Below are 14932 nucleotides of genomic sequence, written 5' to 3' on the forward strand. Positions count from 1 at the left end.
ATATAATTTGAAACTAGTGAGATGTGGGGAAGCTCGAATCCTGAGGCTGAAAAATATCTGTAACAATGCAATTCATAAATGGAAGTGAAGATTCATTGAGATTTCTGCAGAAGTAACAATTCTGTAGTTTTCTAACAAAAGAAAGAGGTGAAATATTTATTATTTTTGAGTTGTCCTAGTCAGAGATATAAAACTAATAAATCTCAGTAGTACAATCTGAGATGACAGGACAGGGAGTGCAGGAAAGATGGGCTTTTTGCTAAAGCTCTGGGATAGATAAAGAATTCTTGCATGGTAAATATTTCTCAATGAGGTATGGTCTTTTGAGTTCAGCCATTTGAGGTCATGTGCAATTCAGAGCAATAAGGATTCAGTGATTTTAAAATAAAAACTTCTTGCTTTTGTAATATTACCTAGCACTTTGGGATAAAATGTTAATCATTGATTTTCTGTTGAAACTCAGATTTCTGCTGGGCTAGTAACTCATTCTAAGTAGTCTTCCTGTGTGGATGATGAACTGGACTGTCTGGGAGACAGTGTATATCAGCAAAACACCTCAGGATTCAGATTATTGATGAAAATTGAGATGGAGTCACTGGGCAGAGCTGTGTAAAGGAGGAGGGAAGGGGAGGTACATACAGCATTTGCCTTCCCAGCCCTCTGTGGTTCTTCTGCCAAGAGCATCCCCTTTTGGGGTTGAACTGTTTCTACCTCACTTCAGTATTGTGGTTCAGTGGGTCCCAATCTGATTGCTCTGCTTTCCTGGGTACAGGATGGGTGTGTGACTCAAAGGCATTGAAATCCTTGAGAGATGATGTTTAACCTGGAAACAAGGGAAGAGAGTCCCTTCTTCTCTCACAGCAAAGATGATACAATCACTGGCCATGGTTATAGGCTTGAGGAGAATGCCAGTTTGAGTGGATAAAATGATGTGAAGAGAGAAGCAAAGTTAGAAAGGGAAGATATAGGCTGGGTAAAGTGGCTTAAGCCTGTAGTCCCTGCACTTTGGGAGGCCAAGGCGGGCGGATCACTGAAGTCAGGAGTTCAAGACTAACCTGGCCAACATGGTGAAACCCTGTCTCTACTAAAAATACAAAAATTAGCCAGGACAGTGGCGGGCGCCTGTAATCCCAGCTACTAGGGAGGCTGCGGCAGAAGAATCACTTGAACCCAGGAAGCGGAGGTTGCATTGAGCTGAGATTGCGCCACTGCACTCCAGCCTGAGCAACAGAGTAAGACCCTGTTTCAAAAAAAAAAAGAGAGAGAGAAAGAAAAGAGAAAAGAAAACAAAACCAAAGAAAGACATACACAGATGGTCAGGTGCAGTGGCATGTGCCTGTAATCTTTGCCAGTTGGAAGGCTGAGGTGGGAGGATTGCTTGAGTCCAGGAGTTCAAGGCCGCATTGTGCTGTGGTGATGCTACTGGACTCCAGCCTGAGCAACAGAGCAATACCCTGTCTCTAAACAAACAAACAAAACAGAAAGACATACAGAGATGCATACCTCACAGCATTTGGGTTTTCTGTTTGGGTTGACCTAGAAGTGCAGCCTTACTTACCCTTGTCCGCCCACCCTGAGGTTTGGTTTCAGGTTCCATGCATGGATCCATTTCTCTTCTGCCCAAGCTGGTTGGAGTTGGATATCTGTCACTTTCAATTAAAAGAGTCCAGGGGTACAGCTCAGGGCATCAGGCTCAGGCCACCCAGCATTCCTATAGGGTGGAGGAGACTAGGCTATTGCCTGCTTTTCATGAGAAAACAAGGAGTAGCACGAAAAGTATCTTGAACCCTAGACTAAGAGCAAACGAGAGAGATCTGGTTTCCACTCCCACCGTTAATGTGTGGTTAATCTTGGATGAGTTACTTTCTGGTTCTTCCCTTTCTACACTCCAAATTTCTGTGTATTTGAACATTTAAAAGTGATCATGTGGCCAGGCATGGTGGCTCACGCCTGTAATCCCAGCATTTTGGGAGGCCGAGGTGGTTGGATCACGAAATCAGGAGTTCGAGACCAGCCTGACCAAGATGGTGAAACCCTGTCTCTACTAAAAATACAAAAATTAGCCGGGCATGGTGGCACACGCCTGTAATCCCAGCTGCTCAGGAGGCTGAGGCAGGAGAATCATTTGAACCCAGGAGGCAGAGGTTGCAGTGAGCTGAGATCGCGCCACTGCACTCCAGCCTGGGCGACAGAGCAAGACTCCGTCTAAAAAAAAAAAAAAAAAAGAAAGTGATCATGTGTCACATTTGCCTCAGGAAACTTTAAAAGGGATAAAACAGTTATGGAACAACAAATGCTATTAACATTTTTCCTACATAAGGAGATCTAGAAAAACAAAGGCAAAGTATTTTAGTACCTGAAGAAACAGGTACTAGACAGTGTATAAACATGTCAAGTTCAACCAGTTAGAGAAGGAGAGAGACTCTTCCGTTCACTGGGTCTTCTACATAAACACATCTCAAGATTTTTATTGCAAACCAATAGCTTCTCCTCTGAGCCATACCCCTAGGATGGTTAGACATTTCCCTATGGCACTCAGCAATCGCAGAAACATCAAAGTCCAGGACAATGGCAACAACTAACTTGATGTTAGGCAATGAGAGGTAAGAATTAGCTGAGCATGAAAAGAGGAAACGTACAGAGAAAAATGGAAAACCTTAACCCAGGCTGCTTAAGAGACTCTGGATAAAATCTGGGGGTGGAGGGATAGAAGGGCATCACCAGCAAAAAGCCACAGGAGCACTCTTTGAGGCCCTTGTCTCCCGTTTGGAAAGGATGCAGCATTTTATTGAGGGAGCGGCAGCATCCCCAGGCAGCAGGGCAAGACAGGGCATGTCACACGCTTGTGCAACAGCTTTCTCGGCTCACACCCTTGACTTCTTAGATCCCATCTGATTGCTCAGGTTCAGCTTGTATTACTCGGAGCTTGCTCTCTTCTGGGACAATTTAAATTACTGACACCTTTACATCATTTTTAAAATAGGGCAGTGTGCCTAACAGAAAGAGTTGTATTCTTTGGAATGGAAATGCAGTGATTTGATGTTCTCTCCGTGGTTCAAAGCCCAGAACAGACTCCTGGTGATCCTGGACAAATCCTGGATCTGAGTTTTGGCTTTTCTTTCTATGAAATGGAAAAATACGTTACCAATAGGTTCCAGGACGTCCATGTATGAAGCCACAGGTGGAAGAACTGGCCCAGCCTCACAGCATCACTTTACCTCCTTGCACCATTTTTCTCATCAGAAAGTGAAGGAGTTGGCCTAAACTGAGATTTGTGAGTCAAATTGGATAATTCAATCACAAACACCCCAAAATGTATGTAAGACACACTGGAAATACTTCATATTTTCATACATGAAAATGACCCTGTGTTGTCTGGAAGAGAGTGGGTGCTCTTGACATTATTTGTCATAAGCACACTTGGTGATTTTCTTTGATCTCTAACCTTACAGTTTAGAATGCTTACAGAGTTCCTTTTGGCTCCTTAATTCCACATGATTAGTATACCTGATTAGGATTCATTAATCATCTTTGGCTGTCCAAGGAGGTTTATGCATGTTTAACGACTTGAGACACTGGGGCCAGCCTGGGGACACCAAGTCATTCTATGTTACCTAAGGGTTCCATTTTGGCGATGAAAGTTAAAGTATGCTGGGATATACAGAATCAGCATAAATGTTATTACTTTAAAAATTCTTTCATCTCACTCCTCAGTTCTGCAAACCTCCACCCAAATCCTTGGGCAGTCATCTGGAAATGGCTTTGTACTGATTTACAGGGCAATGTAATTTCTCCTTCCCACTGCCTCAGGACAATGCTGGGAGAGACTGGTTCTCAGAATGCATGGGTAGATGATTCTAAATGACATTCCAAGATTCCTTCCAGTTCTGTGAGTTTGAGAAACAAACATATGCTACCCTGTGGGCCTGGCTCTCTAACTAACTATTCTCCCTCCACAAAATACATCCCTTCAACAACCTGCAACTTGCCATTGTCTGCCATGAACTTTGAGTGGTTGTGCAAATTCAGATAAGTGTGACTGCATCTAGTGCAAGCTGAATGGAGGTGAATTATTTGGTGTATTCGTCCACTCTCGCACTGCTGAGAACTACCTGAGACTGGGTAATTTATAAAGAAAAGAGTTTTAGTTGATGCAGAGTTCCATGGGCTGTACAGGAGGCATGGCTGGGAGGCCTCAGGAAACTTATGATCATGGCAGAAGGCAAGGGGAAAACAAGCACGTCTTAATATGGCAAAGTGGTGGTGGGTGGTAGGGGGAAGTGCTGTACACTTTTAAACCATCAGATCTCATGAGAACTTACTCACTAGCACGAGAACAGCATGGGGGAAATCTGCCCCCATGATCCAATCACCTCCCACCAGGCCCCTCGCCCAATATTGGGAATTACAAATCAGCATGAGATTTAAGTGGGGACATAGAGCCAAACCATATCATTTGGTAAGCTTCCACATGCAGCTTCACTCAGCATTGAAGAAACTGAGCTAGAATCCTAATTGCATGGCGACATGTTAGGACTCGATGAGGCCTTCAGCCTTGGCAGAAATGACTTGTGGGAGGATGGGCCTGAAGAACCACAGGCTCTCAAAGGGTGCAGAGTGGCGTCCTAGGATCTTCAGGGGTTTTTGGTGGTCTTATGCCTATCCTCACCTCACTCTTTTAGAATTATCAACCCAGCAACAGACTGTTAGCATTTTCATTAATTTCCTTCTTCCTGCCCTGTACATTCACTCAAGAAATATTTATCAAGCACCTAATATGCTTGATGCTGGGGATACAGCAGTGAAAAAGGCAGGTGCAGTCTCAGCTTCTCTGGGAAGTTATGGTCTAGTGTGGAAATGGACAACAAACAAGTACTATTGCAGAGGCTGGTGAGTTTCCAGAGAAACAAGCAAGGGCTGAGCCAAGAGATGACCAAGAACCAGGCTAAGTATGGTCTTGTGGGCCCATTAGGAGTCTGATTGTTGTTCTAAATGTAACGGGAAGCTGTTAGAGGACTTTGAGCAGAGGAGCTACATGATCTACCTTACGTATGTTTTCAAAAGTTCACTGTGGTTGCAGTTTGGAGATTGGATTCTAAGTCAGTGATGTCAATGCAAGGAGTCCAGGCCCAGGAGTCTAGAAGAGATCATGGGAGCTTGGACGAGGCAGGCAGCATGGAGATAGAAGTCGATAGAGCACAGAAAAATTGTGAAGCAGAACAGATTGAATTTGAGAATGAGGAAAGATGAAACCTCCTTTGAAACTCTGCTGAAAGGGGTGCAGGATAATTAATAATAATAAGCAGTTTTCTGTCTCTAGGGGTGAAGACATCAACTTTGGAACAGACCTCTCCTTGTTTTAGCAGAATTATCACAATAGGTATAGTATATGTAACCTCATTCTTTCATTCAACAAATCTTCACTGTATTCAGTACAGTAACATGCTGTATAGGCTTAGGCTGTATCATATAGCCTAGGTGTGTGCAGGCTGTGCCATCTAGGTTTGTGTAAGCACACTCTATGATGTTCACACAACGATGAAATCGCCCAAGGATGCATTTCTCAAAACATATCCCTGTTGTTAAGCGATGCGTGACGGTACTTGTTGAATGAATGAATCTGAACACATCTGTTGATGTTCTGGTTTGGGACTATAATTTGTTGTCTAAGTTTGAGTAGAATTTGTGACTCCAAGGAGGTGGGCTTAAAAAAATTGTTTTTGGAGATAGTTAATTGTTGTGCTGATGAGAAGCAGCTTTTTCTTTCATTTTGATATTTCATATGAGGCGTATTCTTACGTCATTAAAAAGTCTTCACACACACCCTGCTTGGATATGCCTCAGATGCACACACCACAACATGCTGAGCCAGTCTTCCCTCCCCTCCAGCTCCCTCCCCTCAAGCCAGCTGCTCCCCTTGCCCCTGCCCAGTTCGTTTTGATGGTTACAGAAATGCCTCTCACCCCCAGCAGCTTTGAATTCTTGTTATTTTTAATTAATCTTTGCTGCCTTTCTATACAAGACATAAGCCAAACAATACAATTAAATGACAGTCCCTGCTTATCTCTGAGGCAGTGTGCGTGGTTCTTTGGAGCTGGCACTCAGTTTGAAGCATGAGAAAAAGAAGAGGAAAAAGCAAGACTTTTCACATCCTGAACTGGCTTCTGCTCCCGTCATCCCTGAATTTTCTCTCTCTGTGCTTTGCCTTAGTATTTCCTCTGGCCTCATAAAGAAAAGGAAAGAACAAAACAACCCACAGATTATTAACTCTACAAAAGTCGTTCTCAAACAGCCTGGATGGTTGTCTGAAATAGGCATGTGTTGACTTTGCACAGGTGGTGAAACGAGTGGTCTGTGGCTAGTTTTCAGGCTTCCATGTGGAACCCTTCTGTGAGGCAGCCCTCATGAAGAGTGCTGATCCCAAAAATGCACACGCGTATGAGCAGAGCCAGCGGGGCTGGGAGTGGAAAATACCAGTGTGTAAACACGTTAGAGATGGTGCCAGGAGTTGTGCCCCTTTCTCTAAAAAAAAAAAAAAAAAAAAGTTAAATAAATTCTGATGCTTTTTCCACTTTGAAATCTTTTAAGGATGTAAGAGGTAGAAGCAGTGTGCATCCCCTGTGTAATTCTGCCCACTAGTCCACAGAGAGCGTGCCTCTTAAATAACCTCTTTAGGGATTTCACTTGTGCGGAGCTTAAAGATCTTTTAAACATCTATACTAATCTTTAAAAATAAAGCAAAATGAGGCCAGGTGCAATGGCTCATGCCTGTAATCCCAGGACTTTGTTGGACCAAGGTGGGAGGATCACTTGAGGGCAGGAATTCGAGACCATCCTGGGCAACATAGCGAGACCCCTATCTCTACAAAAAAAAAATGAAGCACAATGGGTATACCTTGAAGACATTATGCTAAGTGAAATAAACCAGTCACACAAAAGGGCAAATTCTTATGATTCCACTTACAGGTGGTACTTAGAGTGGTCAAATTCATACAGACAGGAAGTAGAAGGGTAGTTGCTGGAGCTGGGGAGTGGCGGGAGTTATAGTTCAATGTGTACAGAGTTTCAGTGTGGGAAGATGAAAAGGTTCTGGTGGTGGATGGTGGTGACGATTGCACAAAAATATGACTGTACTTACTGCCACTTAACTGTACACTTGAAAATGGTAAATTTTATGTTATGCATATTTTGTCAATAAAAAAATGAAGCAAAGTAGGCAAGGAAATAAACTGAGGTAAAGAGAGTAGGATGGATATCTTTTCCTATCTGTTGGGGTCAGAATAAAGAAAGTAATAGGACTTTGACTTTTGGTTTCTTTTTGCTACATAAACTATGATTACTGCCTCTCTCCCACTTTTTAAAATTGTTGTTTGTTTTTGAGACAGGGTCTCACTCTGTCACCCAGGCTGGAGTCCAGTGGCGCAATCTTGGCTTATTGCAACCTCCGCCTCCCGGGATCAATCATTCTGTATGACTCCGCATACAAGAGGTACTTAGAGTGGTCGGATTCATAGAGACAGGAAGTAGAATGGTGGTTGCTGGAGCTGGGGGCAGCAATTCTCCTCCCTCAGCCTCCTGAGTAGCTGGGACTACGGGTGCGGGACACCATGCAAGGCTAATTTTTAATTTTTTTTTTTTTTTTTTTTAGTAGAGACGGGGTTTCACCATGTTGGCCAGACTGGTCTCAAACTTCGGACCTCAAGTGATCCGCCTGCCTAGGCTTCCCAAAGTGCTGGGATTATAGGCGTCAGCCACTGGGCCCAGCTTCCCTTCCTCACGTTCTCTGGGAATAATGATAAGGGAAAAGGATCTTTAGCTCCAACTACAAAAAGGGCAGCAGAAATAATCTTGTCTCATTCCAAATAGATTTTCTCCCCTGCTCATGTTGCCTACTTCTCTTCTCACTGCTCTCTAAACAGGATGGCTGGGTCTGATTGGCAATCGCAGCAGAGCCCAGCATCTTTCACATATAGAAGTACTCAATGAATAATACTTGTGAAAATTGAATTTCTGCCTTTTTACGAAATATGTATTTCATAAAGAAGCTTCTTTGTACTTGCTAAATGAGAATCTACTAAGAGGGAAGGATCCCTCCCACATGCAGGGGTTCCTCTGGACTGTCTTTTTTTTTTTTTTTTTTTTTGAGATGGAGTCTCACTCTGTCTCCCAGGCTAGAGTGCAGTGGCGCGATCTTGGCTCACTGCAAGCTCCGCCTCCCGGGTTCATGCCATTCTCCTGCCTCAGCCTCCCAAGTAGCTGGGACTACAGGCGCCCGCCACCATGCCCAGCTAATTTTTTGTATTTTTAGTAGAGACAGGGTTTCACCGTGTTAGCCAGGATGGTCTCGATCTCCTGACCTCATGATCTGCCTGCTTCCGCCTCCCAAAGTGCTAGGATTACAGGCGTGAGCCACCGTGCCCGGCCTGGACTGTCTTTATAGATCAGTGCAAAATAGGCAAGAAGGACAAAATAATATTTTGAGATTAAATTATGTTTCCTCCTTTGCTGCTGCTTTATTCAAGCACTTAGCTGAGGGTGTTCCTTGTTGAACTGGAGGAAATTTGGGGGCAGAACACTATAAACAGTCCTTCAGAGAGCTTGTTACCTGTAGGCTCAATAAGGCCTCAGATAAGCTGGAGTTTGCCCCTCAAAATATTGATCTGTACAGTGTTTTGCTGAAATTTACATTTGTAGATGTTTAAAAATGAGATGTCACATAAAAATCTGGGTTCCTGGGTTTTCTTTCAAAACGTGAAGACAGCTCAAGCAACTTCATTTGCCTGCTTGGCAACAACCAGCTGGATCTGAACTTCAGCTGTTGCATTTAGGATGGCATAATAATCAGGATAATGTGAGCTGCTGTAACAAATCGCCTCTCATATTTCAGTGACATAGCACAAAAGAAGCTGATTTCTCACTTACATATGACAAGTCTGGTGCAGGTGATTCAGGGACCTGGGGCTCCCTCTTTGCTGTGTCTCCACTGTCCTTAGGGGCCAGGGAGTTTTTTGTTTTCAGCCTGTGGAATGGGAAAAAGGAAGTGGAGAAGCACACCCATTTCTCAACCACCCTGGCCTGAAAGTGACACACATCCACTTGGCCCACATTCCACTGGGGGGACCCAGTCATGTGGCTCACCTAGATGCAAAGGGAGCTGGGAAACATGAAGCCGGTTTGAGCAGCCACTTCCTGCCATCAACCCTATCCCATGGATGGGGGAATCATAAATGTGCAGTGGCCGCGTGCACCTGTGCCACAAATGGACAGGTGAACTCAATTTGCCACAGTTCCCACTACTTGTTTCATATCCCTGAGTGGCCCCTGGAGGCATTTGAGTTTGTGGCTCTGGTTTAAGGTGTTTGTGGGCACAGTGTGAGGAAGAAACATGGAAAAGACAGATTTTCTCTAGACTGAAAAGGAGATTGCCCAGGGGCGGGAGGAAGACAAACAGAGGTCAGTGGGTCCTGAGGCTGACTGTATGTGTGACTTGTGTCCCTGAAATACCATCTTGGAAACTGCAGGACCCCCGGGAGGAATGGCTGCAGGGGATGTCTTAGCAGATGAGACAATAGCCACCGCCACCCCACCCCAAATTCCTGTGCCCCTAGTGGGATACAGAAGTAGTAGGTTGCTCATCAACCCAAGCAGCCACATCAGCTTGGGCAGTGGAAACAACTCAGCCATATCTTTTGGGAACAGAGGACCAAATGGATGTGCTGTCCCTTCTCCCAACCCACTACATGGGACTGTGTATAGCCCTGGTGTTAGGAACTAACTCCAGGAAGGATGAAGGCTGACTCCCTTAGTCTCCAGTAGATAAGCTGCTAGGGGCAGCTACTAATATATAATAACTGAGTTATTTACGTAAAATAATGGATATGTGATGCTTCTTGCATGCCTGAGTTTCTGGGCTGAGATTTATTCTGTCTTGAATGTCGCGGTTTTCTTAATGAAGTTGCTGAGGAACGCAGGGGCCTTGTTCATTTTGCCTTTTTCTGGAAACTTTGTCCTCCAATTCCCAGATCCAGAGCAGTGCCTCTGCTCTCAGCCCCATACCGCCCACATTCTCATTAGGAAAAGCAAACAAAAGCCAAAGTCCTGTCCAGTTACAAGCCTTCTCTAAACGGGGCAGTTGGACTGTATATATTCCTGGCGCATCAATTTTACTCAGACAGGGAAAATATTTTTACATTAAAAGAAACTAGGTTAAATTATGGTAGAGAATGCAAAATTCACAGTTTAAAAATGATGAAATTCCAGACTTCAAAGGAACTTCTTTCTTGCAGGGTAGGGGGAGGGTATTCTGTTTCAGAACCCCATGCGGGTCTCCACTGGAGTTCTTTTGAGAAGGACACTTCTGTGGAAAAGTTTGAGCAGCTCTGGCCCTGCGCCTGGCCTGGCTAGGGGCCACCTTCTTCTGGTTTGGGCTGCAGCGCCCTATGGGTATCGCGTTCTTGTTAATATCTCCTCACGTTTCTAAACTCACAGCTTGTCAGCGCGGGCGCAACCTGAGAGCTGTCGCAGGTTTCCAGCTCACTCGTTTCCCAAAGGAGGAAATGGAGAATCAGCGACTTTAAAGGACTTGCCTGGCGGGCATCCACGCTTCCCAGGCTATCGCTCCTCCCTGCGTCCTTGGCCACCTCCGTTCTTTAATCCTGCAGGAACTCAGGACCCACGTGCAAATACAAAGAACCGTATCCACCCACCCCCGGCCCTTCTTCATCCTGCGCTTCCAACCTTGGGGGGGTCCTCTCTCTCCACTGGGGTATCTGACGCCCGTGGGGGGTGCTTAGAAAAGTTTGGTAGATTAGTGACTGGTGGTTCTGGAACAAATACATCACAGCCCAAACTGGGGGCTGGTGGTGGAGAGGTGGGTGGATGGGGGCTACAAATCTGCTCGGCAACTGCCCTTTCAGCCAAGAGAGAGGAGCTGAGGTCCTCTGGGGTTGGAGGACTGGAACCGGCCAGATTGCGGGCTCAAGGGGCGAAGGCAGGTTGGCAGGGGCAGCCTCTTCCCGCCGCCCACAATCCTCGGGCGGGCGCGCAGCCGAGCCGGCTCGGCTGGCTGGCGCAATCTCGCGCGCTCCTTGCATTGATCAAAAATGGGGGTTGAAACAGTAAACGCGAGGAGGAGCAACTGCTTCGACTCGGCTCAGAAGCGCGACCAATGGGGATGTGAGCTCCTTCGCGCGAACCAATTAGCGCAGGGCCTGCGACAGCACGGGCCAATGGGGCGCCGACTCGGCGCAGGAACAAGGCGGGGGTTCGGGGCCGGCTGCAGACTCTCACCGCAGCGGCCAGGAACGCCAGCCGTTCACGCGTTCGGTCCTCCTTGGCTGACTCACCGCCCTGGCCGCCGCACCATGGACGCCCCCAGGCAGGTGGTCAACTTTGGGCCTGGTCCCGCCAAGCTGCCGCACTCAGTAAGTCCCCGCGAGCGGGCGCCGGGAGTGAGGTTCAGGCGGGAGCACGCACGCGGGTGGGTTTGCATCCCTGCGTGTGGCAGTCGGATTCCCGCTCCCTGCCTTGAGTCCCCTAGGCGCTTTGCATCAGCGTGCACAGCGGGATCAGCAGCTCCGGCAAGCGGGCTTCGGGAAGAATGCAGTTGGTGAGGAAGCTCGGCGAGGCGTGCCCGTGCAGCTGCCCCTGGCCCTGACTGCTGGTGCGAGGCAGTGCACGACTCAGCTGGCCGGGGCCTGCTGTCCCGCCGGTGCCACGCACCTGCAGACGCCCGGGCTGTGCCATCTCCTGGGCCGGTCCGGGGGCTGGGGCGGGGCGAAAAAGAAAAAGCTCTGATCTCTGCCTTCGCCTCGCGCAGCTGTGCGGCGAGCCCGGGCAGTGTGGAGCGGATGCATGAATGGACATAGTGTGAATGAGTGATGAACGGGAATGAACCGATGACAGGTTTTGCATATGCAGTGGATCACGTTAGCTGAAAGGGATTGCAAACTTAAAGGTCCGCGTGTGCGTGCCCCCCTACGCCTTACACCAGTGTTTGCTTTAGCCAGCACTTAGGAACACTGCTTTTCAGAAATGTAAATTTGAAAACCTTCAGTCCAGCTTTCCCCTCCTTGTCCCCCATAGAACCTACCCTTTCCTAAAGCCTTTCTCCCCACCCCCCTCCTTTTTTTAACCTGCTTGTCCCCTAAAGGCGTTCGAGTATTCTAACTCTGGTAGACTTTGGGCTGCTTAACCCAATTCCCTGTTCATTTCGTTCTGGAGTAAACCGAGTGATTGAATTCTCTCCCGGGCCACAATCAGATCTTGCTGGTGGAACTCACTCTCTGCCTTCCCAGGCCCCAGCCCGGCTCCTCCCCTCCCCCGCCAAACCCACCGTCCCCAGCCCCACCCGCAGTGAAGAAGGCAAAGTCTCCGATGTGCCTTGAGCCCATTGTCAGGCGGCTGCCGCCGCCGTTAGATTTTTATTTTTCTAACCAGGATAGAGCTGATAATATGTTGGAGCAGCATGAGGCATAGCCAAGTATTTTACAATTATCAATTGTTGAGCAGAGTAGAAATCTCCCTGGGACAGAGCCTCCTCTGTGTTGTGGTAAGAACAGAGAATCCAATTTTAAAGGGGAAAGGACTTCTTACTTTTCTAGGGGCAGCGCTCACAGTAGCTGAGAGGACAGGGCTTATTTTTTCTCAGTGGTTACAGTTCATTTTAGGCGAGATTCCCTGCTCCAGCTGTGGAGATGTTTCCTGTAGCCTCCTCCTGCACCCCCCATGTTTTGGAGTGTTCCCAACGTTTGTTCCCTATGTATTTCGTTATTAATTTATTACTATAATTGTAATGGCAATTGTCATCAGTAATACAATTATTTGTTATTAATTTTTCTGGGAGGATTTTTGCCCTTGGACTGCATGTAACCTGGGGGGCAGGAGGGTGAGGGGGCAGGCAGATGTTGCTTTTTATGTATTTCCTTGATTTAGTTGAATTGTAAATATTAGAGAAGCTTTCAAACTTCTTTTGACTGTAACCTACAGTGAAAAACATGTTTACAAAATGACAAAGTATACACATTCAATTGTAACAAAAATAAATGCCTTATGAAATGATGTGTAGCCTAATTACCTGTGACATACACTATTTTGTATTCTATCCTGCTCTAGTCTGTTCTGTTTCATTAAAAAAATTAGTCGTGAGCTGGGTGTGGTGGCGCACGCCTGTAATCCAAGCAACTCAGGAGGCTAAGGTGGGAGGATCTCTTGAGCCCAGGAGTTTGAGGCTGTAGTGAACTGTGATTGTCCCACTGCATTCCAGGCTGGGTGATAGAGCAAGACCCTGTCTCTTAACAAAAAAAAAAAAAAAAAAAAAAAAAAAATTGGTTATGATCCACAAAAGCAATGCATTCTTCAACTGGAAAAAAAAAAACCTACTGGATTAGGGAGGTGTGATTTTTCAGTAGGAGTCTTTAAAACTGTTTGTAATTATTTTGGTTATAAACTTTTATAGAACTATTTTCAATGAATGCTGTCTATAAGAAAGATACAGTCTCAGGAGCAAGTTCAAAGATTATTCACAGATGAATGTTTCTCTTTACTAAAAGAAAAGATTCACTCTATTTTATTTGATCAGCTGGTGCTAACAAGCATCCAACATTTCAGAAAACAATAACACATTCTTAGACCCAGTCGTCAAGGCAGTCTTTTTTTTAATCTAATTCTTTTTTTTTTTTTTTTTTGAGAGAAGTCAAGCTCTGTCACGAGGCTGGAGTGCAGTCGCTTGGTCTCGGCTCACTGAAACCTCCGCCTCCCGGGTTCCAGCGATTCTTCTGCCTCCGCCTCCTGAGTAACTGGGATTACAGGCACCCACCACCAAGCCCAGCTAATTTTTGTATTTTTAGTAGAGACGGGGTTTCACCATGTTGGCCAAGATGGTCTCAATCTCTTGACCTCATGATCTGCCCGCCTTGGCCTCCCAAAGTGCTGGGATTACAGGCGTGAGCCACCACGCCCGGCCTTGTCTAATTCTTTATTGTTAAAATACTGTTTTTTGAGACAAGTTGCAATCCAGTTTAGGTTATAGCTGTGTTTTAATGATGCCCTCCTTAGCAAGCATCTTAAAAAAAAAGGTGCCTCCTATCTGTAGACCTTCTCTGGCTGGTTGCTTTTGCACTTATTTTGTGTTCATTTTTAAAGCTTTTCTTTTTCTCTTTATTTTTTATTAAGGGAATCCTCACATACACAAAGATAAAAGTAGTGTAATGAACCTCCAAGGACCCATCTCTGAGACTCAACAATTATCAACATTGTGCCAGTCTTGTTGCAGCACCCTGGGACGAATCTTATTCACAGCAGGCTCTTCCTTCTTCCTGCCCACCCCACGCTTCCCAGTCTAGCACCTTAGACCAAAAGAGATCGGAAAATTGAGTTACCTGTATAATCTGGGCATAATTTTTTTATCGTTGTCCCTTTAACCCAGAACTTTATGCATTCTTTACTTTAGCTTTAGGAGAGTGGTGAATGAGATTTGTGAAGGGGACATTTTCTAGGGAATCGGTAAATTCGGGCCTTTGGAAAAAGTGTATCAACATCAGTCACATTGCCTAATTTCATGCTTACCTTGTGTGTAAGTTGCATAATCGCTGGCTTTGTGGACATGGGAAGGAAGGAGACTGGCTGTGGGTGGGGATGGAAGCCTGGGGACCTCACTGTAGACCCTTCCTTGTCCCCTCGTCAGGTTTGTATGTTCAGAGGGAAAGCAGTGCAGAACATATTTAAATAACCCTATTTTCCTTTATTTTTTTCTAGGTGTTGTTAGAGATACAAAAGGAATTATTAGACTACAAAGGAGTTGGCATTAGTGTTCTTGGTAAGATTTACTTTTGAATTCTGTGAATGTCCATGTTTCAAAGGAAGCTTTTTTTTTTTTTTTTTTTTTTAGAGGCAGGGTCCTGCTCTGTCACCCAGGCTGGAGTACAGTGGCGTG

The 14932-nt window shown here is 45.8% G+C and overlaps 1 protein-coding gene across 2 annotated transcripts in view, besides 6 other annotated features; it reads left to right on the forward strand.

The window, feature by feature from the left end:
- Positions 2328-2829: an enhancer, noted in NCBI's record as "H3K4me1 hESC enhancer chr9:80903091-80903592 (GRCh37/hg19 assembly coordinates)". NCBI's record gives its function as "activates a minimal SCP1, AML or CMV promoter by ChIP-STARR-seq in naive H9 embryonic stem cells {active_cell/tissue: H9 hESC(naive)}" and the evidence as "EXISTENCE:reporter gene assay evidence [ECO:0000049][PMID:30033119]".
- Positions 10364-10633: an enhancer, noted in NCBI's record as "active region_28487". NCBI's record gives its function as "activates an Ori minimal core promoter by ATAC-STARR-seq in GM12878 lymphoblastoid cells {active_cell/tissue: GM12878}" and the evidence as "EXISTENCE:reporter gene assay evidence [ECO:0000049][PMID:35858748]".
- Positions 10364-11107: a biological region, named in NCBI's record as "NANOG-H3K27ac-H3K4me1 hESC enhancer GRCh37_chr9:80911287-80911870".
- Positions 10524-11107: an enhancer, noted in NCBI's record as "NANOG-H3K27ac-H3K4me1 hESC enhancer chr9:80911287-80911870 (GRCh37/hg19 assembly coordinates)". NCBI's record gives its function as "activates a minimal SCP1, AML or CMV promoter by ChIP-STARR-seq in primed H9 embryonic stem cells {active_cell/tissue: H9 hESC(primed)}" and the evidence as "EXISTENCE:reporter gene assay evidence [ECO:0000049][PMID:30033119]".
- Positions 11108-11691: an enhancer, noted in NCBI's record as "NANOG-H3K27ac-H3K4me1 hESC enhancer chr9:80911871-80912454 (GRCh37/hg19 assembly coordinates)". NCBI's record gives its function as "activates a minimal SCP1, AML or CMV promoter by ChIP-STARR-seq in primed H9 embryonic stem cells {active_cell/tissue: H9 hESC(primed)}" and the evidence as "EXISTENCE:reporter gene assay evidence [ECO:0000049][PMID:30033119]".
- The window catches only part of PSAT1 (phosphoserine aminotransferase 1), a 32969-nt gene continuing 29314 nt past the window's right edge, over positions 11278-14932 (forward strand). For both annotated transcript variants that reach the window (NM_058179.4, NM_021154.5), the window contains exons 1-2: positions 11278-11423; positions 14755-14815. In NM_058179.4, the coding sequence (NP_478059.1) occupies positions 11364-11423; positions 14755-14815 (121 nt within the window). In that variant the 5' untranslated portion in view covers positions 11278-11363. The remainder of the gene's footprint in view (positions 11424-14754; positions 14816-14932) is intronic.
- Positions 11644-11883: a silencer, noted in NCBI's record as "silent region_19967". NCBI's record gives its function as "represses an Ori minimal core promoter by ATAC-STARR-seq in GM12878 lymphoblastoid cells {active_cell/tissue: GM12878}" and the evidence as "EXISTENCE:reporter gene assay evidence [ECO:0000049][PMID:35858748]".

The sequence above is a fragment of the Homo sapiens genome, chromosome 9 (genome assembly GCF_000001405.40).
Source record: "Homo sapiens chromosome 9, GRCh38.p14 Primary Assembly".
NCBI classification, from domain to species: Eukaryota; Metazoa; Chordata; class Mammalia; order Primates; family Hominidae; genus Homo; species Homo sapiens.